The sequence below is a fragment of the Homo sapiens genome, chromosome 19 (genome assembly GCF_000001405.40).
Source record: "Homo sapiens chromosome 19, GRCh38.p14 Primary Assembly".
Classification (NCBI taxonomy): domain Eukaryota; kingdom Metazoa; phylum Chordata; class Mammalia; order Primates; family Hominidae; genus Homo; species Homo sapiens.
Window position 1 is genome coordinate 31,979,739 of NC_000019.10, and position 24,763 is coordinate 32,004,501.

Consider the following 24,763-nt stretch of genomic DNA (forward strand, 5'->3'; position numbering starts at 1 on the left):
CAACTCGTTTGCCAAAACCCACACCAGCATAATTATTTTGCTCAGCTCCCCCCACCCCACCCCAAACTCCTTCTTTCATCAGTCATATCTTTAACTTCATCCTTGTTGCTGAAAACACAAAAATAAAAAATACATAGCAGCTCTGTTGACATTACAGCAACAGCATAAGCCTCATTTTACCAACCATTTAACTCTCTCTAAGGACCCCGTTCAGAGACACGGGCACGTTGATGGGAGCTGTACAAAGGTCAGTGATTTGGAGGCTCTTTTCGACAATTTGCCAGGATTTTGGCATTTGTAAGCATCCATAGGACAGCTCTCTAGCAAGCTGACCTTGACAGCGAATGGGATAAATAAACCTTCAATTTACCCCCTCCAGCTCTCCGCGAGCTGGGCCAGTCCCCACGGAGCCTTCACCTGTCCATATCGTTCAACTGCCTGCAACTTCCAACTGACGAACATCCACAGCTCCGCGGCCCAGTGACAAACACCATCTAACAGATAAGCCTTCTGAAAAGTCAAAGCCAATACTGCTTCCATTGAAAATTTAATGCCAGCTCCATCTTTGCCCATCATTCTTCCGACTGTTCCATGTTTCCCAAGAGGCCCTTGAAGCTAAAGCACTGCTCTATAACAGGTAATGACGTAGCATTTAATGATACTGTCCAAAGTGATCCCGGTCTTTGGGAAGTAATGTGCACTCATGTACCAGATAAGCACCGCCAAACGTACTGAGCCGCCATATCTTTCACGGCCCTGTCACCAGATACAATGTGACACATCCCCGGCCATCCTACCTGCTACTCCTCCGACCCCGCCATCAGACAAATTGTGCGTTTTCAGAGCAGAGCTCCAAAGCGTTAAGTGAATTCAGGCAAAGGTAGGATGGTAACATAGCCTTAATTAAGTATTCACAGCCTCTTTAATACTTCAGTGCTCTTGGATTCGCTACTAAAATCTGTGAATTATACCTCATTGAAAAATGTCCTTAATCGACTCTGACATGTTTTATTGGAGGCAGAAAAAATGTTTCAGTATGATAGATAAGGTTAAAAATGTTACTACTCTGATCATTTACTCTAGTGCCTTGCAAAAGAACTCCAAAGCCAAAAACCATTTACATCATTCATCGGATGCAATGGAGAAAAAAAGCCTTATCTGACAGCCCATTTTAGCTGATGGGACAAAGTGCACATTTTCAATTTTCTGACAAAGTTATGTTGTTTATGTAGATAAGGGTAAAAACAACTGTAACATTTCTACAGCATGCCATGAGGGCTGGAAATGTGGCTTCAAATGTGAAGTATCTCCAAGCCACACGGAGCGCCACGCAACCAACAAAAAGCCACTCTTTGGGCATCAGACGAAAACAGTGCATGGAGCACCCTCCATCTCAGGAGCAGCTGAGAGGAGCAGCAGAGGGTTTTCAAACAGCCCCAGAGCTCTGCTGAGATGTGTCACCTGACAACCCTATAAGTACCAAAAGTTTCATCCCAGCTTTAGCCCCATTAATTTGCAGTGGGAAACGCAGAAACCATCAATTGAGAGACCTTCTACAGGGGTGTCCAATCTTTTGGCTTCCTGGGCCACACTGGAAGAAGAAAAATTGTCTTGGGCCATACATAAAATACACTAACACTAATGATAGCTGATGAGCTAAAAAATAAAAATTAAAAAAATCACAAAACAATCTCATAATGTTTTAAGAAACTTTACAGATTTATGCTGGGCCGCATGTGGCCATGTGGCCTACAGGCCTCGAGCTGGACAAGCTTGCTCTAGATGTTGGTTGTTCATTGGAAACACTGAGTCTTGCTGTTTTCTCTGTACTCTGAATAATATGGCTAACCCTGGAGGTAGAGATTCACACTCCAAGGCCTCCACATGCCCTTCTGTGGAAGGGGCTCAGGCAGTTGAACCTGGGTATACCCTGGGCAGTGACCCACACATCCTGTTACATCTTCCTCAAGAGGCCATTCACATGCCACCTCCTCGCAGACCACACATGCTCCCCTATGCAGACTCATCACTGTCTCATTAAGGTGGTAGAGGCCCTCGGCATAGCATGGAGGCTATCAGGCCAGGTCCTAACCTAGACAGCCAGGAACAAATCTTTGGTCCAAAGCTAGATGGCTACATGATCTTGGGCAGGTGACTTAATATCCCTGTGTCACTGGGTCCTGATCCATAAGAGGGAGAGGATGGCAAGGGCTGAAGTGCAGATCTGCCAAGGCAGCACCCATGATGCCCTCCTCCCAGGGGTTGGCACATGGGTGGTGTTCAGGTAATGTCAGTTTCAACTCTTGCTACTGAGGGCAGATTCGACCTCGCATACCGGCTGCTCCAAAACATGTCACTAACGCTCCACTGGTATTTTCTAAAAGTCAGTCTTTCTTAGGCCAGTTATAGACAGGATTGTTTTCCAAGTAGCCTCCTGCCCTTTGGGATTGAAATTCATTATAAACCTGGCAGACACTCACCTGCTCAGTCCATGCTGGGGAAAAGAATCTTAGCAGAAGTTTCCTAATTAAAGCTACCAGAGTCAGATAAAGCCAGGAAAATGGTTACAGGTTAAACGATGGGATTAAACAGTGAAGAGTGCCAGAGCGGAGGAAGAACTACAAAGAAACTGCAATGATGCTTCTTCCAATGTGTTGTCCAGGATGTCCAGTGAATGTCCTCCACCTCTGAGCCATATGGCCAAAGTTACGTGGCTGAGTAGGGCTCATGGACGTGTTTCATCTGACAGGTACAGAGTACACGTGTTTTTTTAAATGTTCCTTTCATTGTTGTTACAGAGCCTTCCTTGACCACTGTGCCCAACCTTAACAAGCCAGCATTTCTCTATGTGTGTGTGTGTGTGTGTGTGTCAGAGTTTCTCTCTTGTTGCCCAGGCTGGAGTGCAGTCGCATGATCTCAGCTCACTGCAACCTCCACCTCCCGGGTTCAAGCGATTCTTCTGCCTCAGCCTCCCGAGTAGCTGGGACTACAGGTGCCCGCTACCACACCTGGCTAATTTTTTGTATTTTTAGTAGAGACGGGGTTTCACCATGTTGGCCAGGCTGGTCTCGAACTCCTGACCTCAGGTGATCTGCCCACCTTGGCCTCCCAAAGTGCTGTGATTACAGGCATGAGCCACTGCGCCCAGCACAAGGGAGCATTTCTATAGAATTTAAGTGGCATCTTCTAGAGTTGTGAGGCACTGCCTGGTATTAACACCATTTATAAACTAGTAACCAACATCTAAAATTAGGAAATGCAACAGGAAAACACACTGTCTTATGAAAACAAAAATCCCAGGATTTTTGTAGGCCTACCTCCTACTTCTATGAGAAGTGGGAAGGACATTCTAACTACCTGGCCGGTACACATGGATATTATGAAAGTCATGGGAACCATGAGGAACTCCTCAGACTGGATCCTGGGACAGAAAAGGGGCATGAGTGGGAAAACGGGTGAAATCTGGAGTTCAGTAATAATAATAATAGAACAATGTTGTTTCTTAGTTTTGACAAATGTACCCTGGGAATAGAAGTTTCTAATGTTAGGGGAACTCAGTGAGAGGTACATTGGAACATTCTGTATTCTCTTTGCAACTTCTCTGTAAATCTAAAATTACTTCAAAATAAAACATTTATTTTTTTAAGAAAGTGAGAAGTTCTAAACCGAAAGGAATGTGTGCTTTTGAGACATGCTTCACGTCACTCAACGCTTTTGGTGCCTGGAGCCTGGAGGCATTTGAATTTAGGACTTCTCTCTCTCCCCGTGAAAGATTATCTGCAAACACCCCAAGTGATATTATATCCATATTTTCTTCCATGGGGATCTCTGACCATCATGATCAAGCCGACTCCCTTGCCTTGATTTGGGGTCTATGTGATGGGAGGGAAAAAGGTTCAAGTCAGGGAACGTCCTGTTTTCTGGGGCTACTATTTCCCACACCCACCACTGAGCAGAAGGAAGGACATTGAGCACTACACCTGATCAGTGGAGTGTCTTTGACCCTCTGACAGCTCTTGCATCGACCACAGCTGCTTGCAGGGCTGTTCTCAGTGGCAGTCCCCATAGCCACCAGGCTGCACAGCCCCAGCTGAGCAAGGCTCTTCTACCTGCACCTGCCTGGGAGCAGAGCTGCTAGGACCCCTGGAGAAAGGCAGGGGGCAGGCAGCTGGTGGAGGGCAGAGAGAGATGTTGTTGATGGTTTTCCAATTCTCATCTGGAGGTCTTGTTAAAACCTCACCCCCAGAGTCTCTCACTCAGTTGGTTCGGGGTGAAACCCAGGAATTTGCATTTCTTACACTTTCCAAGTGATGCTGAGCCACTGTCCTGGGGTGGCACTTGCAGAACCACTGCTGTACACAATTGAATCCTTGCCTAATGTATGGATATCTTGTTCTTATTGTTTCCAGGGAATGCCTCAGTACAGCAAAAGCTGTCAAGGCATGCTGAGGTCTCCACGAAGGGAGTGGTTTGGCCTGTTCCAATGGGTAGTAGTACTGCCTTGCCACACAGGCAGTCCAGTGGTTAAGGGGACCAGATTAGGAGCCACCCAGCCCCTAGTTTGAATCCTGACATCACTGCTCACTAGCTGTGAGACCCTTCATCACTGTGAGACCCTTCATCACTGTGAGACCCTTCATTGCTGTGAGTTGCGTACCCTCTCTGGGGCTTGTTCTCCTCATGTGCAGATTGTACATAATAAATCTGTCTCTGCAGGGTAGTCAGCCTACATGCTGAGAGCACCTTGGCCGGATCTTCACTCAGGACCATTCCTCTGGACTGCAGATTCCTATGCCACTTCTTACCAAAGTAACAAGCATTGCACACTTGAATCTGTAAAGCTTAATTCCTACCACTTTCCTCCTCCAAACCTTCTTCTTCCACAGTCTTTCTCATCCCTCAGTCTTCCTTATCTCAGTTACAGGCAATTCATCCATCTGGTTGCTCAGCTCAAAATTACTGAGATCCTTCCACCAGCCAGTCTAAACCCTATGGTCTCAACACGCAATGTCCTAACCATCTCTCTACCTACAGAGCCTCTCAAGCTTCCAGCTCCAGTTGCACTGGACACCCTCACAGCCCTTCTGCAGAGCTGGGAATGGCCAAATCCTGCAGGCCCACTCATGTCCCTGCAAGAATCCTGATGTTGGGAGAGAAAGCATGCATGTTCCCTCCTTTGCTGCTCCCCAAACGAAAGGCCACCTGCAGCCTTATATTTGCAAGAAACTCATGCTGAGCATCTGAGCCTAGGAAGACACAGAGTCCTGTCCTCCAACAGCCAGCTCTCAGGCCTTCTCGAACCTCTCCCTTCCCTGCCAGATGTGACCTTGTACTCTGGATGCCTGTGGTTTGGCTTTCTCCTCCTCACAAACATGGATGCTGTCCTTCTAGCAGAGGGATTGATGTGTTTATGCATGTATCATACCTTCCCCTCTGAGGATGGGGGCATGCCTTGCCCAAAGCACCCAGCCAGGGCTGAGCACAGGGACTCAACTAGGAGGATTTTTGCTGACTGATAAGTCCCCACTGGACAGGTCTGAGGGTTCTCCCCAAACCATGCACTCTGGCAGTGGGCTAGTCTGACCACCTCCCCCGCCGTGTGTGTGAGACCCGCTGGTGGGCACTGTACACAGCATGGACGTGGAAGACAAGCCTGGAAGTGATGACTCTGCTGGAGTGAGCAGCACCACAACACAGAGCAGATCGCTGGAGGGAAAGATCACCTGGGGCGGCACTCCAGGGTGGAGTCAGGTGAGGGGCTAGAATTTCAGCAGCTCTTGGGGGAGGGGAGGGCATCATCAGACACAGATGGTAATGGGGGAAAGAGGAAGAGAAGGGGGACAGGGGTGGGAGAGAGAGATCCACATAAGGAAGGCAGGAGGGCAGGAAAGGGCAGTGGTATGTTCATGGAGTGGATTTCCATCCTGTGTGACTGCAGCTCAGGACAAGCTGGGCACTGGGGACAGTGATGGTGGCAGGAGTGGGAGCTACAAGTCAGAAGTTCCCTGGCTTCCTCCCTAGGAGGACATGGAGTTTTGGAGGCACACAGACAGCCCCGGAAGGCAAAAGTGTTCATCAAGCAACCTCTGACTCAAGGATATCCCTGGACCACACCCCTGGGAGTGAGTGCACCAGGGAGTCACATTAATCCCATAAACCCTGTTGTTGTCCTGTGACTGGCACCATTCATGCATGGCAGTTTTATACATTAAAAATGTCTATGTTTTGGAGCCAAGTGAAGTGGCTCATGCCTGTAATCTCAGTGATTCAGGAGGCCAAGGCAGGAGGATTGCTTGAGGCCAGGAGTTGAAGACCAGCCTGGGCAACATAGTGAGACCCCCATTGCTACATAAAAATGATTTTTAAATTAGCCAAGCATAATGGTGCATGCCTGTAGTACCAGCTACTTGGTGGGAGGCTGAAGCAGGAGGATTGCTTGAGCCCAGGAGTTTGAGGCTGTGGTGAGCTATGATTGCACCACTGCACTCCAGCTTGGGCAACAGAGCCAGACTCTGTCCTCTTTAAAAAAAAAAAAAAAAAAAGTCCATTTTTGAAAAGGCAATCATCTCAATAATGCCTCAGTATTTTGATAGTCTCCTGTTTTAAAATGATTATTACTGTTTAAACTTACATGAAGCCTCTGATCCTAACCCAGTAGATGGTCACCTCTAGCCAGAGCCCAAATGCTCATGTTTGAAGCTCGGGTTTGCCCTTACCTGTGGATGCTGGATGCCTTCTGTACCTCATTGTCCTCATCTGTAAAGTGGGGATAATAATAATAATAGTGTCCACCTCACAGGGGTTCACAGAAGTTCAATGAATCAATAAGCATAAATTGCTGCCCATAGACCCGGGTACATGGCAAACACGCATGAATGTTAAGGAGGAACCCCCAGCAGGAGAAGGCCGTGGGAAACAACTCCAGAAACAGTGGACAGAGGTGGGGGGATGTGCATGTAACGGAGCGCCTCAGGAGTCTCCAAGCAGGAGCAACCACATGGGGACTGTATCTCATGGGGGCTGCATCGCTGGAGGGTCAAATTAGGTCACAGAGGGCCCAGGGGCTGGCTCTGAAGCTCCAGCCATATCACACACTTGAGCTGCACCCTGGGGCTAATGGCAGAGCTGTCGATGGGAAGCTGGTAAGGCAGGGGACCCCAGGAATCAGCCCACGACCTGCCATGTTGGTCCCAGTACACCTCCCAGCTCTCCACAGCTCCCCCAAGCAGGGCTTCAGGTTTCTACCCACAGACCTGGCTTTGATGGAGCCTGCATTTTGTTTTGTTTCAGAAATACTATAGTAAAATGAGTGTATCTTTCTGGTTATTAATTTTCTGATTTTTTTCTATTTTGCTTATTTATCTAAATGGAAGATGTTATATTTCCCAACCAGCTGCTATATGAAGTGTGAGAAACAATTGGAAATCTAGCTCAGAGTAGCTGAAACTGTATCAGTTGGAGTTGAAACAAACATCTTTTCCCCACTCAGGAAAGAAAATGAGACAAAGCAAGGAAGAGAGGAAAAAAAGAGAGAGAGAACAGAAAGAGAGGAGGTGGGAAGGGAGGGAAGAAAGGGGAAGAGGAACCCAGTTCGATTATGTTTTGTTTATTGCTGCATTACTCAGGTGATTGCTTACTTAAGTCCGACTGCCAGGCTGAGCTTCCAATCCCAGTTCTTTCCTGTGTTCATAAGGCTCAGCTAGCAAGCAGTGTTTTGCCCCCCATAGCTTCTGTAGATCTGGCTACAGTTAAATGGTGCAGATGGAAGTGTGAATGGAGGGTGAGCCCCGAGAGCCATTTGGGGCTAACTGAGGTGGAAGAAGATGGGGCTCAGAGCTCGGTCAGGGTCGGGTTAGGGTGGCTTGCTATTAGTGCTGAGAATGGAAATTCCTCAGAGTATTCAGAGCAGTTGGCTTTAGCCTCTGCACTGGCCACTGGCTTGTGATCCCGACTCACATCAAGGTACGGGCCAGGTTTGATCCTCCTGGACAGAGAAGAAATGAAAAAGTACTTCCCTTTTGTCCTTAAGCACCTGTTCCCACTCACCGGGTCAGGCAAATGGTGCTTTAGAAATATGCCTTATTTAATGAAACTTCTCCACCTTCATCTCTCAGATGAGAAGTCTGGGGCTCTGGTGCCCAGACAAAGAAAAACACAAGGCCATTCAAAGAACATTCTTGATGACACTAATTCCTGCTCTAAATACTGCTGTGATGGTAAATTTTATGTGCCAATTTGACTGGGCCCCAGGGTGCCCAGATATTTGGTCAAACATTATTCTGGGTGTGTCCACAGGGGTGTTTCTGGATCAGATTCGCATTTAAACAGGTAGACTGAGTAAAGCAGATGACCCTCCCCGACGTGGGTGGGGCCTCATCCAATTCATTGAAGGCCAGAATTAAAAACAAAAGGCTGACGTCCCCCAGGTAAGAGAGAATGCTCCCTGCCTGCCAGCCTTCAAACTGGAATATCAGCTCTTTGTGGTTTCACAACAGCCTGCTGGCCTTCAGACTCAACCTGAGATGTTGATTCTGTAGGTTTTGGACTTGTCAGCCTCCATAATCACATGAGTCAATTCCTTATAAGAAATCTATCTGTCTGCCCAACCATCTATCTATCTATCTATCTATCCATCCATCCATCCGTCTATCCATCCATCTAGCTATCCATCTATCTATATCCATCCATCCATCCATCTATCCATCCATCCATCCATTCATCTATTAATCTATCTATCCATCCATCCATCTATCCATTCATCTATCTATCCATCGATCTATTTATCTATTTAATCTATCATCCACCTATCATCTATTTATTATCTACTTATCTATATCTAGCATTCATCTCTTGCTATCTAACTATACCTATCATCTATCTATATCTACCATCTATTTCTCTACCTATTATCTATCTGTATCTATCACTTATCTATCTACCCATTCATCTGATAGGTTCTTATTCTCTGGAGAACTCTGACTAATACAACTGCTGCCCTGAAAAATCACAGCCTGAACCTTAGTATCAGTCTGCTGCAAACTTGCCAGAAGGATTGAGAGAGGCTTAGATCCAGGCATTCTCAAAACACCATCCTCTAAACAAAGTCTTTCAAACCAGAGGACTCTCATCCATGGGAGGCCAGGTGGAGGCGTGGCACCTGGAGCCAGGAGAGAGGCACAGGATGAAGCCACAGGGCAAAAGAAGTGGGTCTTCCTACAGTTCACTTTGTGTGACATAATGAAGCTCAAACATTAACTTTTACATAAATCAGACATAGATAGCAATAAATAGAATTCAAATTTTGCATGACTTAAAAATCAATCACGAGATGATAGAGAAACTTCACAATTGCAGTAGGCTGTGGACTCTGCCTTCAAGATTTCTTTTCCCCTGCAGTGACTTGGACTAGCTGTTTGTTTCTCATTTCCTATCCATGGGGAAATACCTGACCATCAAGGGAAGAGCCCTCGGCCATGAGGGGCTTGATGGGTTGGCTGTCTCTCCGACCACCTTTTACATCCTGAGTCAAATTCACATGTTGGGGGACAAAAACCTGGGGCATGAACTTGACCTCCAAATTTAAAAGTCCCCTCCTCTGCCCTGTTTGTGACAAGTGGCCTGTCCCCACCCATCCCAGTGCTCAATAACCACAACTTTCCTCCAGAGAGGACATCTCAATGAAACAGATCCAGAAAGCCCATCTGGACCTTAAGGGGAGGCCCCCAGGGTTTCCTCTTCTCCTGACTTAGCCTTTCCCTGTGGAACCCCCCCATGCTTCCAGGTAGCACATAGAGCCTCCTTGCACCTCACCTGCCCCCAGCCTCTGAACACAAAGCAGAAACTCAAGCTTGTTCATCTAGGCAAAGGGAAAGGCAGCTCCCATAGTTGAACCACTCTGGTCTCAAAGGCTAAGTATTTCACACCTTTCCTGAGGTTTTTGTTAGGTAGGGGCCATGTGCTCTGCAGGAGCCAGCACTGTGCTGCATGGACTTGGCTGGGACAATGAATTCTTCCGACTTCTTCAGGAGCTAGGCGGGATATCAATCAGGAGGAAAGAAGCACCAGAGGCTGATTCACAGGCACAGGTCTCTTCATTGGCTGGAGGGTGGCCCATGGCCACCACGACATGCAGAGGCCTCTTTATTTAACCTTGCTTGTTTCACTGCACACACACATAAGCACAGACACATGCACACACACACACAAGCATACACATGCAAGCACAGCTCTACATCACTCCTCCAAAACTTTTCAGGGTTGCCCAAGCCCGGTTCACTGGAGAATTCCTTTCTCTGGAACTCTCCACTTGCCATATGGAGCTATGCAAATTAAAGTGACCACATAGCTGCAGTCTCTGTTCAGACCTGCATTCCCACCCCCACTTCCTCTTCCCTCCATCAAGTCTTCTTTCCTTCTGTGGCTACTGCTTTCTCTCCTACTGTCATGACAGGGATGGCCATACAGGGACAGAGAAAGAGGTTAAGACTGAATCCAGGAGACCTGGGCTCTCCTTCCAGTGCCAGCACTGATTAGGAATCACAAACCCTCCTTGCACTTGTCTCCTCACTGCCTCCGTGGACTTGACATTGGTTTTCCTGCCACCTATTTCGCTAGGAGATCAGAAGAATTAATGGGCACTTTGTCATCCATGAGTCTAAAGATTATTGGAGTTAACTGCATTCTCTGTGGCAAGCAACACGCTGGCTCCTTGCCGTGTTCCTGCAGCTTTCTGGACTCAGTGCTGTCCATTGGTGACACTGAGGCACTACCCCTCTCCTCCATTCTCCCCTCTAACACAGGGACTAGAAACCTGGAAACTACATTTTCTGGAACCTCATGGAATGGACCAATGAGGGAGACAGTTGCCCAGTATTTAATGGACAGGAGCCATATCGTTTTTCCTGGGGCAGCAATGGTAGATCCACAGGCTCTGCAGGATGAACTTGATTTACAGCCTGCAAAGTTCCCAGCTATGTGCTACAGGCAACTGTAGTCATTGCTGGTGGCTTGCAGCAAAGTCTGGAGTCTCTGAAATCCAGTGGCATATCTGAGAACTTCAGCCAGTTCCTTGACCTTCACTCCTCCAAACTTTCAAATGGTTTTGGAAGCATTACATTGTCTACGTGAAATCCCTTTCTACTTGAGATATTCACAATGAGTTCTGGGCATGTCCTGTGCTTGTGTATGTACATTTGTGTTTTCCTCTCTGATACACTTAGTCCTGAAAAAAATACCAAGCATCACTTGTGTATTTAACTCAACGTCTGAAATGTTGGCTTACATGGAAATATCCGATAACATTGGCATAAAACAAGGTATGGCTGTCAATTGAGGACTCTTAGCTCTGTGAGGGAATGACAAGGTTAGTCGGAGAAGGCCTCAGTATTTTCAATCACAAGCTTTCCGAAACATGTTTCAGTGCTGTCCCATTTCACACATTATATTACATTGTCCTTGGAAAATAAATCTCTTTTATTTTTGTATAAATTAAATTCCTCTGTAATCAGTTCCAAGTAACTAGCTAAACCATTGGTTGTCCTATAACTTTGTAGTGTTAAATATCACTGACAAATACATTTAACCCTCAGAGAGTCTGAAAGCTTGTGTTAAAGGGATCATTTAATCTGACCGTAGCCACAATAAGGGGTTTGAGTTGGTTTCCTCGTGGCCTCCCAGATGGTGCTGGGACTGCATCAAGGCTGGTACCCAGTGCCCTCCAGAATATTCTGTTCCACCTGCTCTCTGGCCTTGAGGCTAAATGAGCCATTTTTCTGTTTTCAACAGACTTGATTTTGTCCCCTTCTTTTAACTGATGGCCACAGTGCTTTTCTTTAAAAACAGAGGGGGATTCTCTCTTTGAGATCATCAGGAACTAGCCAAGCTGTTTGAATGCAGAGAAATGAGGACCAAAGGGAAAACAGCTTAATGCCACAGAGAGGTATCTGGGCACTGAAGTGTGCCAAGCACACTGTGTGAAGATGCTGGGCACCCAGCAGTGAGCAAGAGCTTGGTTTGCACTGGAGACACTGGGGACTCCAAAGTGGAGGAGGAGAGACAGGGGCAAGAATTGAAAAGCTTCCTATCAGGTACTATGTTCAGTATTTGGGTGATGGGTTCAATAGAAACTCAAACTTCAGCATCATGTAATATATTGTGGAACAAACCTGCACATGGACCCCTGAATCTAAAATACAAAATAAGTAAATCAATAAAAGTTTAAAAAATCCTTTCACTTCTGCCATGCACCACATCACATTCACAGGTCTCACCCACACCAAGGAAGGGGGTCAGGCTGGGCGTGTACACCAGGGAGCAGGAATGTTGGGAACCACATAACGCATTGTCCTGATGGAACTTCCATTTCAACCAGGGAGATACACTCTGCATGTAACTGGAAGGGCGGCAGGCAGGCGCAGAAGAGCGGGCACTGTGGGAGGGCATCTGGCTCCATCCCCATAGCAGTAGGGCCTGGCCCAGTGCAGGGCCCCCATCGCCTGCCTCCCTAAAGTGCAGCTCAGCCTCTTCTCTGCTCACAGAGGCATCTCACACATTTGTGACAACTGGCACTGGCTTATTCATCATCTCAGATAGCAACTCTCTGTTTTCTCAGACACCCACTTTAATACTCTGACATTTCTGTTCAGCCCATAACATTCTGTCAATTGTTTACGTCTCGCTCTTGCACCAATCGCCTTTTCTGCCGTGCTGTCGGCCCTCCCAGGCCCTGGTACGTGCTGCTTAGCAAAAGGGTGGGTGTCACCCTCTCGCCGTCCACACCACTGGATTTCCAAAGAAGTGTGCTGCATCCCAAGCCGCCAATCATCTCCCAAGGCACTCACAGGATGCTCCTGTCTCACGGTAGATGCTGCCTACAGAAAGGCAGTTTGTTGGGCTCTGTTCACCCACAGGAGCCTAAGCAGGGACTCCCATTCTGCCCCTCTCCAGTTCATAACCAAAAGGCCTGTTGCCAGAACCTGCAAGAGGGCAGAATTGCACTCCTTTCCATCTACCCCATGTCTGGCCCATCAATAGGACCTGCTGTCCATCATCTGGCCACCCATCCTGGCTCCCCTCCCTCAGTCTGGACCCCACCCTACCCCATTCACCCCTGCAGGCACTCAGCCTTTATCCAGACCACACACGGCATAGTCGTCTTAAAACATAGTGTGCACCACTGCCCTGGGGACACCCTGTAAGGGGCTTCCCACTGCCCTAAGGATGGAATCCAAACTTCCCTCCATGGTCTACAAGGCCAGCGTTATCTACCCACTGCTCCCCTCCCCTCCCTGACCATCTCAACCCCTCACACATGCCAGGTCAGGCCACTCTCCTAAGTGAAGGAATGCAGGTTGTATTTCAGGTCCTCTGCCTCCTTTCCATGTCAGGGTTGGGGCATGTGCCATTCCCCTCACATGGACTGCTCCCTCCCACCCCTATGGGAAAAGGAGAAATTCTGTAATTAGTGGTGTTGGGACAAATGAACAAGCATTTGGGGGAAAAAAACAATAAAAACAATGTTTGGTTCCTACATGGCTCCTACCTGTCCTGCAGGCTTTGACTTAAACATTAGTTTCTGGAATAGAAATATCCCATATTGATTCTTTGCCTCACATACTTGTTAGAATTTTCAAGCATTGGATGAATTTGTCTGTTTACCTTTTCTTCCTGTCTGCATGACAACCTGCAAGTCTCAGCAAGGCAAAAACTAGGCCTTGTTGCTCACCATTGAATCCCTAAGCAACGCATTGCCTAACGTAGGGCACAAGCTCAATAAACATCTGTGGGATGCAGGAATTAATGAATCAATAAACACTAACTCTGCAGTATGGACAATGGGAGCCCACTCTATGGTTTAAAATGTGAAAGGGCAGGGGAAAGGATCTTGTCATACCCTATATTAGAAGGCATTCTGAGGCATAATAATTAAAACAATGTGGCATTTCTAAGAAAGAGTGAATACAAGGCCAGGCGCAGTAGCTCATGCCTGTAATCCCAGCAATTTGGGAGGCCGCGGAGAGCAGACCACCTGAGGTCAAGAGTTCGAGACCAGCCTGACCAACATGGTGAAATCCTGTCTCTACAAAAATAAAAAAATTTGTCATATTAGGGTGTGGTGGCACACACCTGTAGTCCCAGCTACTCAGGAGGCCAAGGCATGAGAATTGCTTGAACCTGGGAAGCAGAAGTTGCAGTGAGCCTAGACTGCACCACTGCACTCCAGCCTCAGCAACAGAGTGAGATTCCATCTCAAATAAATAAATAAATATAAAAGTAAAAAATAGAAAGTGTGAATAAAAAATTAATCAATGGAACAGAATAAAAAGTGAAGTAAGAAAACATATCACTCAAACATTAAAAATGTTGCTTTCCAAATCAACAGGAAAATAAATTATTCAAAAGATTGGTATGGACAACTAGCTAACAACAAGAAGAAAAAGTGAGCTACAGTCTTGCCTCGTTACAATGAAATAAATAACTGTGAAATGACTAAACATTTGAATGGAAAAATTAAACCATTGCACTATAATATAAAATTTCTTTTAATTACAGTGTAATCTTGGAATGAAGAAATCCTAAGTATAAAACTAAGGGCAGAGCCATAGAGAAAACTTTGATCTCTTCAACGAGGTAAAAATGAAAAACTCAAACTTAAAAACTGTTGTTGTGGTAGCAGGATTTTCAGCCATGGTGGAGAGAAGAGATCAGCAACCCTTCTCCCCATAAAACAAGTAAAAATTGGACAAAACTATCAAAAACAAACACTAAGAGCTCTGGAAATTGACTGTCTCTGTCCATTGGGCTGCTATAACAAAGTAACACAGACTAAGTGGCTTACAAACAACCTAAATTTATATCAGTTCTGGAGGCTGGGAATCTGGGATTGGGGTGCCAGCAAGGTCGAGTTCTGGTAAGGGCTCTTTTCCAGGGTGTAGACTGCCAACTTCTCTTTGTGACCTCACATGGCAGAAAGAGAGTCAGAGAGCTTTCTGGGCTCTATATATAAGGGCTCTAATCCCATTCATGAGGGCTCCCCCCCTCCCAAAGTCTCCACCTCCAAATACCATCACAATGGGATTAGGGTTTGAACATATAAATTTTGGGGAGACACAAACTTTTTCCATAACATTGACCCAAAGCAAACAATAAACTGGAGGCATTTATTCATGAAAACTGCAAGAATTTTGAGTAAGAACAGTAGGATTTGGTGATCTTCTTGCCTAGGGCTGCTCCCTTCTCTTCCCCAGCTAAATTGGCATGGTATTTTTTTTAGGACAAGTCTGGCTGGAAAAACAGCATCTTCACTGCCAAAGGGAGCTGATCTGTTTTGGAGTGAAGAGCAAACCTGTAGTTGGTTGTGTTGTCTTTAAAAGTTGCAAACTCAGAAGAAAATTAAGGAGGAAAACCCACAACCCTGCTAATGTAAAGTTGCAGTCCCAGTTGGGGCAAATGGGGTGAATGGATAACCAGAAATTTAATGCGAATATCCTGGAAGAGCTAACTAAGCTATCCACACATCTTGGGTTTTATCTCTACCTAGAGAGCCTCTAGCATGTGCAGGGAATACTCAAGAGGGCCCAGAAGAAAGTAAAACTAAATCTTAAGGCAGATTTGAAAACTGCCTGAACATGGGGTACAAGCTACAACCCATACACAAATCAATCAGCAGAGTGTGGAAGCACTGAGCATCTTCCAATGACTGACTGACTACTAATCTATGCAGACACAGGGGCAACTCTTAGGAAGTCAGGCTAAAAATAAAAATAAAAATAAGAATTTAAGAAACTAAACAGATGTATCAACCACACATGCTTAGAAGACAGATTTCATGTATTAAGTCCAGGCAAGTTACTTTTTTTAATGCTTAGGGGAAATTTTACAATCCAGAGTTTGCATAAAATATTATTTTAAATGTCCAGTTTTCAACAAAAAATTGTAAGAAGTGGTAAAGTATAAATTATACTCAGGGAGAAAAAAAGAGAACCTATATAAACTGATGTTGAGTGGGCCCAGATGTTGGATTTGGATTTAGTAGACAGAGAGTTCAAAGCAGCTATTAGAAATACATTCATGTTTCCATGGTGTAATGGTGAGCACTCTGGACTCTGAATCCAGAAATACATTCAAAGAATTAAGAACACTATGTTTAAATAATTAAAGAAAAATCACTGCTTCACATTCTATCAAAAACTGAACTCAAAATGGATGAGCAACCTAAATGTAAGAGATAAAACCCTAAAACTCTTAGAAGAAAACCTAGAAGTTAATCATAATCTTGGATTTGGCAATGGATTCTTAGATAGGACACCAAAAACATGAGCAATGAAAGCAAAATAGATAAATTAGACTTTATGAAAATTAAAAACTTTGTATCAAGGAGGTTATCGATAAAGACAAAAAGATGACCTACAGAATGGGAGAAAATATTTGCAAAGCACACATCTACTAAGAATCAGGCATTCAGAATACATAAAGAATTCTTATAACTCAACAAGAAAAACATAAATGCCCAATTAAAAATTGAGCAAAGTACTTGAATAGGCCTTTCTCCAAAAACATATGCAAATGGCTAAGAAGTACATAAAAAACACTCAACAGTATTAGTCACTAGGGAAATGGAAATCAAAACCACAAATGAGGTAAAACTTTATATTTCATACAGAAAATAACATGGTGAGGATGTAGAGAAATCAAAACTATTCCACATTATTGGTGCAATGTAATATGATGCAGACACTGTGGAAAACAGTTGGTCACTTCCTCAAAAGCTAAACATGAAGTTATCATATGACTTAGCAATTCCACTTGTACATATATTCCCCAAAGACTTAAAAATAGGTACTCAAACAAATACATTTATATGCATAGTTATAGTAGCACTATTCACAATAGCAAATAGGTGGAAACAGCGAAATGTTTATCAACAAATGAATGAATAAAGATATCATGGTATAGACATACAATGAAATATTATCCAGCCATGCAAATAAATGAAGCATTGATATACGCTACCATGTAGATAAACCTCAAAAGCATTATGCTCAGTGAAAGAAGCCAGACATAAAACGTACATATCATAGGACATCATTTATATGAAATATCCAGAAAAGGTAAATCCAGACGTACAGAACACAAATTGGTGGTTACCAGGGGCCGAATGAAGGGAGAAATAGGGTGTAACTGCTTAATGGGTATAAGGTTTCTTTATGGAGTAATGAACATGTTTTAGAAAAATGTTGTTGATGTCCTAAATGCCACTGCATTGTACACTTTTAAATAGTTAATTTTATGCACACTTTAAAATAGTGAATTTCACCTCAATTTTAAAAATCTAAAAAATAATGAAAGGAAAATATAATAACAATGACTCATACCAAGAACCAAAATAGAGAAATATAAACTATAAAAATAAACTAAATAAAAATTATAGATGAAAAATACAATGACGAAATGAAAATTCACTAGAAGAGTTCAACATCAGATTTAAGACGGCAGAATAAAGAATCAGTAAACTGAAAAATCATAAATAAAACTTATCTAACCTGAAAAATGGAGAAAAGATTAAAAAAAAACAGAGACATCAAGTGAGACAACATCAAGAATGACAACACATGTAAAGTGGGAGTTCTAGAACTTGAGAAGAGAGAGAAAGGTATATAAATTGAATATTCAAAGGAATAGTAGCCAAAAACTTCCCAAACTGGATGAAAACAATTTACAGAACCAAGAAGCTCAAACCAAATGTAGGATAAATACAGTATAATCAGCCTGCTGAGAGCTAACAAAAACAATCAGAAAATCTTGCAAGTAGCAAGAGTAAAACAACTTATTGTGTAGAGGGGAGTAACAACAATAATTAACAGCAGACTCTGCATCAGAAACAATGGAGTCCATAAGGCAGTAAAATAACATTTTCAATGTGCTGGGGCTGTGGTGGGTATAAAACTGTTAACCAAGAATTCTGTATCAAAAAAAATTATTCAAAAATGAAGGGAAAGATGCTCCTAGGTAAACATTGAGAAAGTTTGTTAGTAGCCAACCAATCTTGCAAGAAATGCTGTAGGACATTTTTCAGGTTGAAAGGAAATGTCACCAGATAGTAACTTGAATCAACAGGAAGAAATGAAAAGTTTAAAAATGGTAAATATATCATTAACTATAAAAGAATGATTAAATATATATTCTGCTTTTTTCTACTCTTAATTTTTTTCAGAAATATAAGATTTCAAAAAGGAATTAGAACACTGTATTTTTTAGCTTCTAACACATATAGCTAAAATATATACGACAATAACGCCACAAAACAGAGAGAAGAAATGGAACTATACTATAGCAAAGTGGCCTATTTTGCTAGAATTAGGTCAGTACTAACCTGAAGAAAATTGTGATACCTCAACAGATATATTTTAAACCTACAAAGCAAAAAGTATTTGAAAAAAGTTTAAAAATACATCATTAGAAAAACAGAGGAATTAAAATGGTACATGAAAAATTTTTGTTTAACACAGAAAAGGGCAAAAAAAAGGAGGGACAGGAATTAAAAAAAAGTGAGACATATTGAAAACAAATAGCAAAATGGCAGATGTAACTATATCAATAATTATATTAAGTACTGAAGAACTAACCTCTCTAAACAAAAGGCAAAGATTATCTGAAGGATAAAAAAGCAAAATCCAATTATATTTTATCAATAAGAGACACGTTGTAGACTCAAAGACAAATAAATCAAAGTGAAAAGACAAAAATAGATATAACATACAGGCATTAACAATAAGATAACTAGAGTGGCTACATTAATATCAAGCAAAGTTGGTTTTGAGACCAGAAATTTTTCTAGAGATAAAAAGAAATATTTCATATTAATAAAGCCTTAATACATCAAGATGGAATGAGTGTTGTCAATGTGCATTATGAATCTAATAATATGTATAATAATATGTGTATTATGAATCTAATAATAGACTTCAAAATTCAATAAGCAAAATCTGGCAGAATTAAAAGAGAAATAGATAAGTCAATTATTATAGTTGAAGATTTCAATAAGCCACTGTAAACAATAGATAAAATTAGTAAAAATATAAATACATAAATTTTACACATATAAAGATATTAGTAAGTATATAAATATATAAACCACTATCAACCCTACTGACCTAACTGACATGTATAGAACACTCCAACAGAAGAATATAGTCCTCTCAAGTGTATAAAGAGCATTCTCCAGAATGAATAATGTCTAGGCCATGAAAAAGTCTTGATGAATTTAAAATGATCTGAATCCTTTAAATTATATTCTCTGCCTCCAATGAAATTAAATTAGAAATTAAAAACATAAAGAATTTTGAAAATTTGGAAATTTAAAAACATACTTCTAAACAACCAGTGGCTGAAAAAAGGAAATTACAAAAGTAATTAGAAAATATTTTGAACAGAATGAGAATGACAACAAAACATAAGAATTATTAGTGCATCAGGGAAGGGTTGCGGGATTGCAGATGATTACATAGGGCACAAGGAAACCTTTGGAGAAGACAGATGTGTATATTATTTTCAGTGTAAATTCTTGCACATGTACGTATGTCAAAATGTATTAAATATTAGTTTGTACATTTTAAATATGTGCAGCTTATTATATGACAATTATGTTTCAATAAAGTTATTAAAAAGTGCACCTTGTGGTAAATTTATAACATTAAAAGCTCACATTAGAAAAGAACAAAAATCTCAAGACTCTAAGCTTCCACCTTAAAAAAAAAAAACTAGAAAACACAAGCAAATTAAACACAAATCAAGTAGAAGAAAAAAGAGATATTAGAACAGAAATCAATGAAAATGAAAATAGGAAAATAATAGAGAAAATAAAATTAAAATTTAGTTTTTCGAAAAGATTAGCAAAATTGATAAACTTTTAGCTAGATGGGTGAGCCTAAAAAGAAAGAATACAAAAATTACCAAAATTAGGAATGAAGAAGGTGTTATCACTACCAAACCTACAAAAATTAAAAAGATCATAAAGAGAGACTATGATTAACTTTAGGCCAACAAAGTTAGACAACTCAGATAAAATGAAAGTCACAAATCACCAAAACTGACACAGAAAGAAATAGAAACATGAATAAAACTACAAGTAAAGAAATATATTTAATAGTTAAAAAATCTTCTCACAAAACAGCGCAGGCCCAGATGGCTACACTAATGAATTCTATCAATATTAAGGAAATAATATTAAGCCTACACAAACTCTTTCAGAAAACAGAGGAGAGGGAAACATTTCCCAAGTCGTTCTATAAGGCTGGTATTATCCTGATGTCAAAGCCAGAAAAAGGCATCACAACAAAGGAAAACAAAAGATCAATATTTCTCATGAAGATAGAAAAAAAAAATCCTTAACAAAATATTAAAAAATTGAACACGGCTACAGTTTTTTAAAAAAAGATTATTATATAACATTACAAGTGATATTTATCTCAGGAACACAGTTTAGTTTCACATCTAAAAATCAATTAATGTAATACACAATATTAATAAAGGACCAAAAGCTCACATGATTTTCTCAATTTTCAAAATCCACACCCATTTAAAATAATAACTTTCTGCAAACCAGGACTAAAAGGGAACTTCCCCAACCTGATAAAGTTGGGGAAACCTATGAAAAACCTACAGCTATCAACATGACTGATTTTAAAGACTGTATTATTTCCCCTTAAGATCAGGAATAGGGCAAGGATACCTGGTTGTACCTTTTCCATTCACCATTGCAGCGGAGGACCAAGTCAATGCAATAAAGCAAGAAAAAAAATCAAAGACATACATAGTTGACCCTTGAACAACACAAGCTTGAACTGCATAAGTCTACTTACACATGAATTTTCTTCCACATCTGCCACCCCTGAGAGGAACAACCTCTCCTCTTCCTTCTCCTCTTCTGCCTACTCAGCGTGAAGACAACAAGGATAAAAACCTTCATGATGAATCTACTTCCATTTAATGAATAGTAAATATATTTTCTCTTTCTTATGATTTTCTCAATAACATTTTATTTTCTCTAGCTTATTTTCTTATAAGAATGCAGTAAATTATATATATATATAAAATATGTGTTAATCAACTGTTTATGTTATTGGTAAGGTTTCCAGTCAACAGTAGGGTACTAGTGTTAAGTTTTGGGGCAGTCAAAAGTTCTATGCATATTTTCAACTATGCAGAGAAGTCAGTGCCCCTGATTCCCACATTGTTCAAGGGTCAGATATATATTGAAAAAGAAGTAAATTTCTATTCATTTCTACAGATCATAAAAAGCTACTGGAACTACTGAGAGAATTCACCAAAGTCACAGATAACAAGATCAATATGCAAAAACCAATTGTACGTCTATAGACTAGCAATAGACAATCCAAAAAACAAAATTAAGGAAAAAAAATTCGCATTAGTATCAAAACAAATACTTAGGAATAAACAAAAGATTTATATATGGAAACTACAAAATTACAACTAAAAACTTGTACACTGAAAACTATAAATCATTACATGGAATTAATTACACAGATGAAACTCAACACATTATGCTAAGTTAAAAAACTAGACACAAAAGACCACAGATTGTATGACTCCATTTATATGGACTTTCTAGAAAATGTCAACCTATACCGATAGATAGCAGATCAATGGTTACCTGGGACTGAGTGCTGAGAATGGAAACCAACTACAAGTCATGAAGAAACCTTTGGGAGTGATGGAAATATTCTAAACCTGGATTGTGGCCACTGTTGCATGACTCTATACATTTATACATAAAACTAAAACTCATTGAATTGTACACTTATAATCATTGGATGCTTTGGTTTGTAAATTATGTAAATTATACCTCCATAAAATGGCTAAAAAATTATTGTAGCACTTCCACTTTTGATAAGGGTATGATAGATTATTTGAACTGTCATTTCCCCATGATAACTAGAAAAACTAGATAAGATATTAAAAATAAAAAAAATACTCTAAGGAAATACAGAACTAACAAAATACAGAAGAATTAACACTCCATGATCAATGAGAAATGGAGGCCCAGGAGGCCTAGAATTTGGGGTTACCTTTTTCACCTGGGGATATATACCAATTCCGGTTAGGAAGACTGAGAAGTGCTTTTAATAGACTCACCAAAAAAAAGTATTGAAGATTGCTGCCCAAGTTTCAACAAAGTATGGTAGAGAAACTGGATCTCAAAGATAAACTATTGTAAGGCTTGCTTTTGAAATTAAGAATTAAGTCAAAAAAATAAATAAAAGAGGATTTGGAAGTGAAGTACAAGTTGTGGATATTTAAAAAAAAGAAAGTACAAATTAATACAATAAGTGGGTTTAGCATGGTTGCTGGATATAAGAGCAATATATTTAAAATATGTATTTTTACATACCATCTACAAATATAATTAAAACCATTACAACAAACATCAAATAAAATTATATATCAAAAGCCTAGTAATAAGCCAAACAAAAATGTGGAAGATCTCCACATCCAAGATTAAAATATATCATTGAGAAAAATATAAAAGAATATAAACAGAGCGATATTTTATGTTCATGAACTGGAAGCTTGATTTTGTAAAATATTGTATTTTCCCCAACATGATCTATTCAATACAATCACAATAGAAATTCCAACAGTATTTTTTTTAGAAGTTGACAAGCTTATTGTATCAACGTTCTATTGCCACAAAACAGATTATCAAAATATCATTGGCTACAGAAAACACACATTCCTTATCTCACATTTTCTGTACGTCAAGAGTCTAAGTGTGGCTTAGCTGGGTCTTTGCTCAGAGTCTCACAAGGTGGCACTCAAGGTGTTGGTCAGGCTCCGTTCTCATCTGGAGATCAGCGGTCCTCTTCCAAGCCCAGGTGGTTGTTGGTAGACTTTAATCCCCTTGCAGTTGTAGGATTAAGACCTCAGTTCCTAGAGTCTACACCCAATTCCCTGTCACGTGGCCTTCTCCATAGTCAGTTTACATCATAGCAGCTTGCTTCTTCAAAGCCAGTAGAACTGAATGATAACAAGACTGAGTTTATATATATGTAGTACATATGTGTGTGTGTATATATATATGTACATATATATATATATATATGCATTTGCTTTACAGGAGAAAAGTCACACTTGAGAGTTAGAAGGAAATGACAATGGGACAACTAGATATCTATCAGGAAATAAAATTGATCCTACCTTACACAATACTCAAAAATCAATACCCAGGGAATTTTAGACCTGAATACAAAAGGCAAATTAATAAAGCCACTGAAAAGTAATATACGAGAGTATATTCATGACCTTAGGGTAGATTTTACTACATTAAGACTAAGAATTTCTGTTCATCAAAACATTCCAACAGAAGAGTGAAAAAGTGACAGATCATGGGAACGCACCTGTGACACATGAAACTAACAAAGGCTTTTCACCAAAACCACAAAGCTATTGGAAGAAAGACAGGTGAGCCAGAATAGACAGATGGCAAGAAGACATGACCAGGAACTTAGGAGCCAGGATCTCCAAATGGCAAATAAACAGCCCAGAAGTGTTCCACCTCATTAGTCACCTAGGAAATGCTGGTTAAAGCCACAATGAGATACCACGACCCACACACCTGAATGGTTGGAATTTAAAAATAAAAATAAAATAAAATAATAAGCTAACAGCATGACGTTTTGGCAAGGATGTAGAGCAACAGGAACAGTCAGACACTCCACGTGGGGTGTAAATTGTACAAGTACTTCGGAAAAATGTTTGTGAGTGTATGCCAAAGCTGAACTTACACATACTTTAACACAATTTTAGTTATATATGCAAAAGAAATACACATGTATGTGAACCAAGAGACACATACAAGAATATTCATGGCTGCATTATCAATTGCCCCCAAAACTGGAAATTACTTAAATGTCCATCAACAGAATAATGGAAAAATACATTGTGCTATAGTCATAAGATGGAAGACTGCAGGAATGAACTGCAAGAATGATAAGGAACGAACTACAGCTACAGGCAACAAACACATAAGATCACAGTGCATATTCCCATTTATATAAAGTTCAGAAAATTAGTAAAACTATGCTATAGTATTTAGGGATGCATGCTCACATGGTAAACTATAAAGCAAAGCAAGGAATTGCATACCATAAAAGTTAGCATGCTCTTTTGGTTTGGCATGGATTTTGCTGGGGACGAAAGAATAGTGATTGTGAAGTACAAGGAGATTTCAGATTGCTGGCTTGGATGGTAGTTACGTGGGTGTTCAGAACGTGATTATTATTGAGCTATATGCTTTTGTGCACTTTTCTCTATGTGGTATATTTCATGATAAAATGTTTTAATACCATTAACTAAAAATTTATTGCAACATATATGATAAAAATTTTGTATCTTTAATATGTAGTCAGCTTTTCCAAATCAAATGGGCAAACAAGTGTGAGATAGAAAAACAGAAAATCAAAAACTACAAATATAAGTGTCCAATAAACACTTTTAAGTAGCCAATCTCAGAAATCAAAGAAAGGCAGTTTAATTATACAATAGAAACATACAACAATAAGGGAATTTCTATGCAATAGACAATGATTAGCCATGAAAAGTAATGTTATAAATAATATTGATGATATGAAATCATAGTCATGATATAATAAGTGAATAATATGGGTTATCAAACTATTGAATATGTGGGAGACAGAACCTTGCTTACTATTTTTAAAAAGTCCATGTTGTAAAACTGAATATAATT

General features: G+C 40.9%; 2 long non-coding RNA genes across 23 annotated transcripts in view; one reads left to right on the top strand and one right to left on the bottom strand.

The window, feature by feature from the left end:
- LINC01837 (long intergenic non-protein coding RNA 1837) overlaps positions 1-24,763 on the bottom strand; it is a 234,720-nt gene that overhangs the window by 142,359 nt on the left and 67,598 nt on the right. For 2 of the 20 annotated variants that reach the window (XR_007067217.1, XR_001753909.2), the window contains 2 exons: positions 22,764-23,034; positions 20,859-20,927 (listed from right to left, as the gene is read on the bottom strand). The exons of the other annotated variants lie outside the window; for them this stretch is intronic. This is a non-coding gene — a long non-coding RNA (long intergenic non-protein coding RNA 1837). The remainder of the gene's footprint in view (positions 1-20,858; positions 20,928-22,763; positions 23,035-24,763) is intronic. 20 annotated transcript variants of the gene reach the window in all.
- On the top strand, positions 433-6,240 carry LOC105372364 (uncharacterized). 3 transcript variants are annotated; one of them, XR_935910.3, is made up of 4 exons: positions 433-637; positions 2,571-2,749; positions 5,035-5,751; positions 6,022-6,240. It is a non-coding gene; the product is annotated as an uncharacterized LOC105372364 (long non-coding RNA). The 3 variants fall into 3 exon arrangements; XR_935911.3 differs by lacking the exon at positions 2,571-2,749; XR_935909.1 differs by lacking the exon at positions 433-637 and having other exon boundaries at positions 1,693-2,749.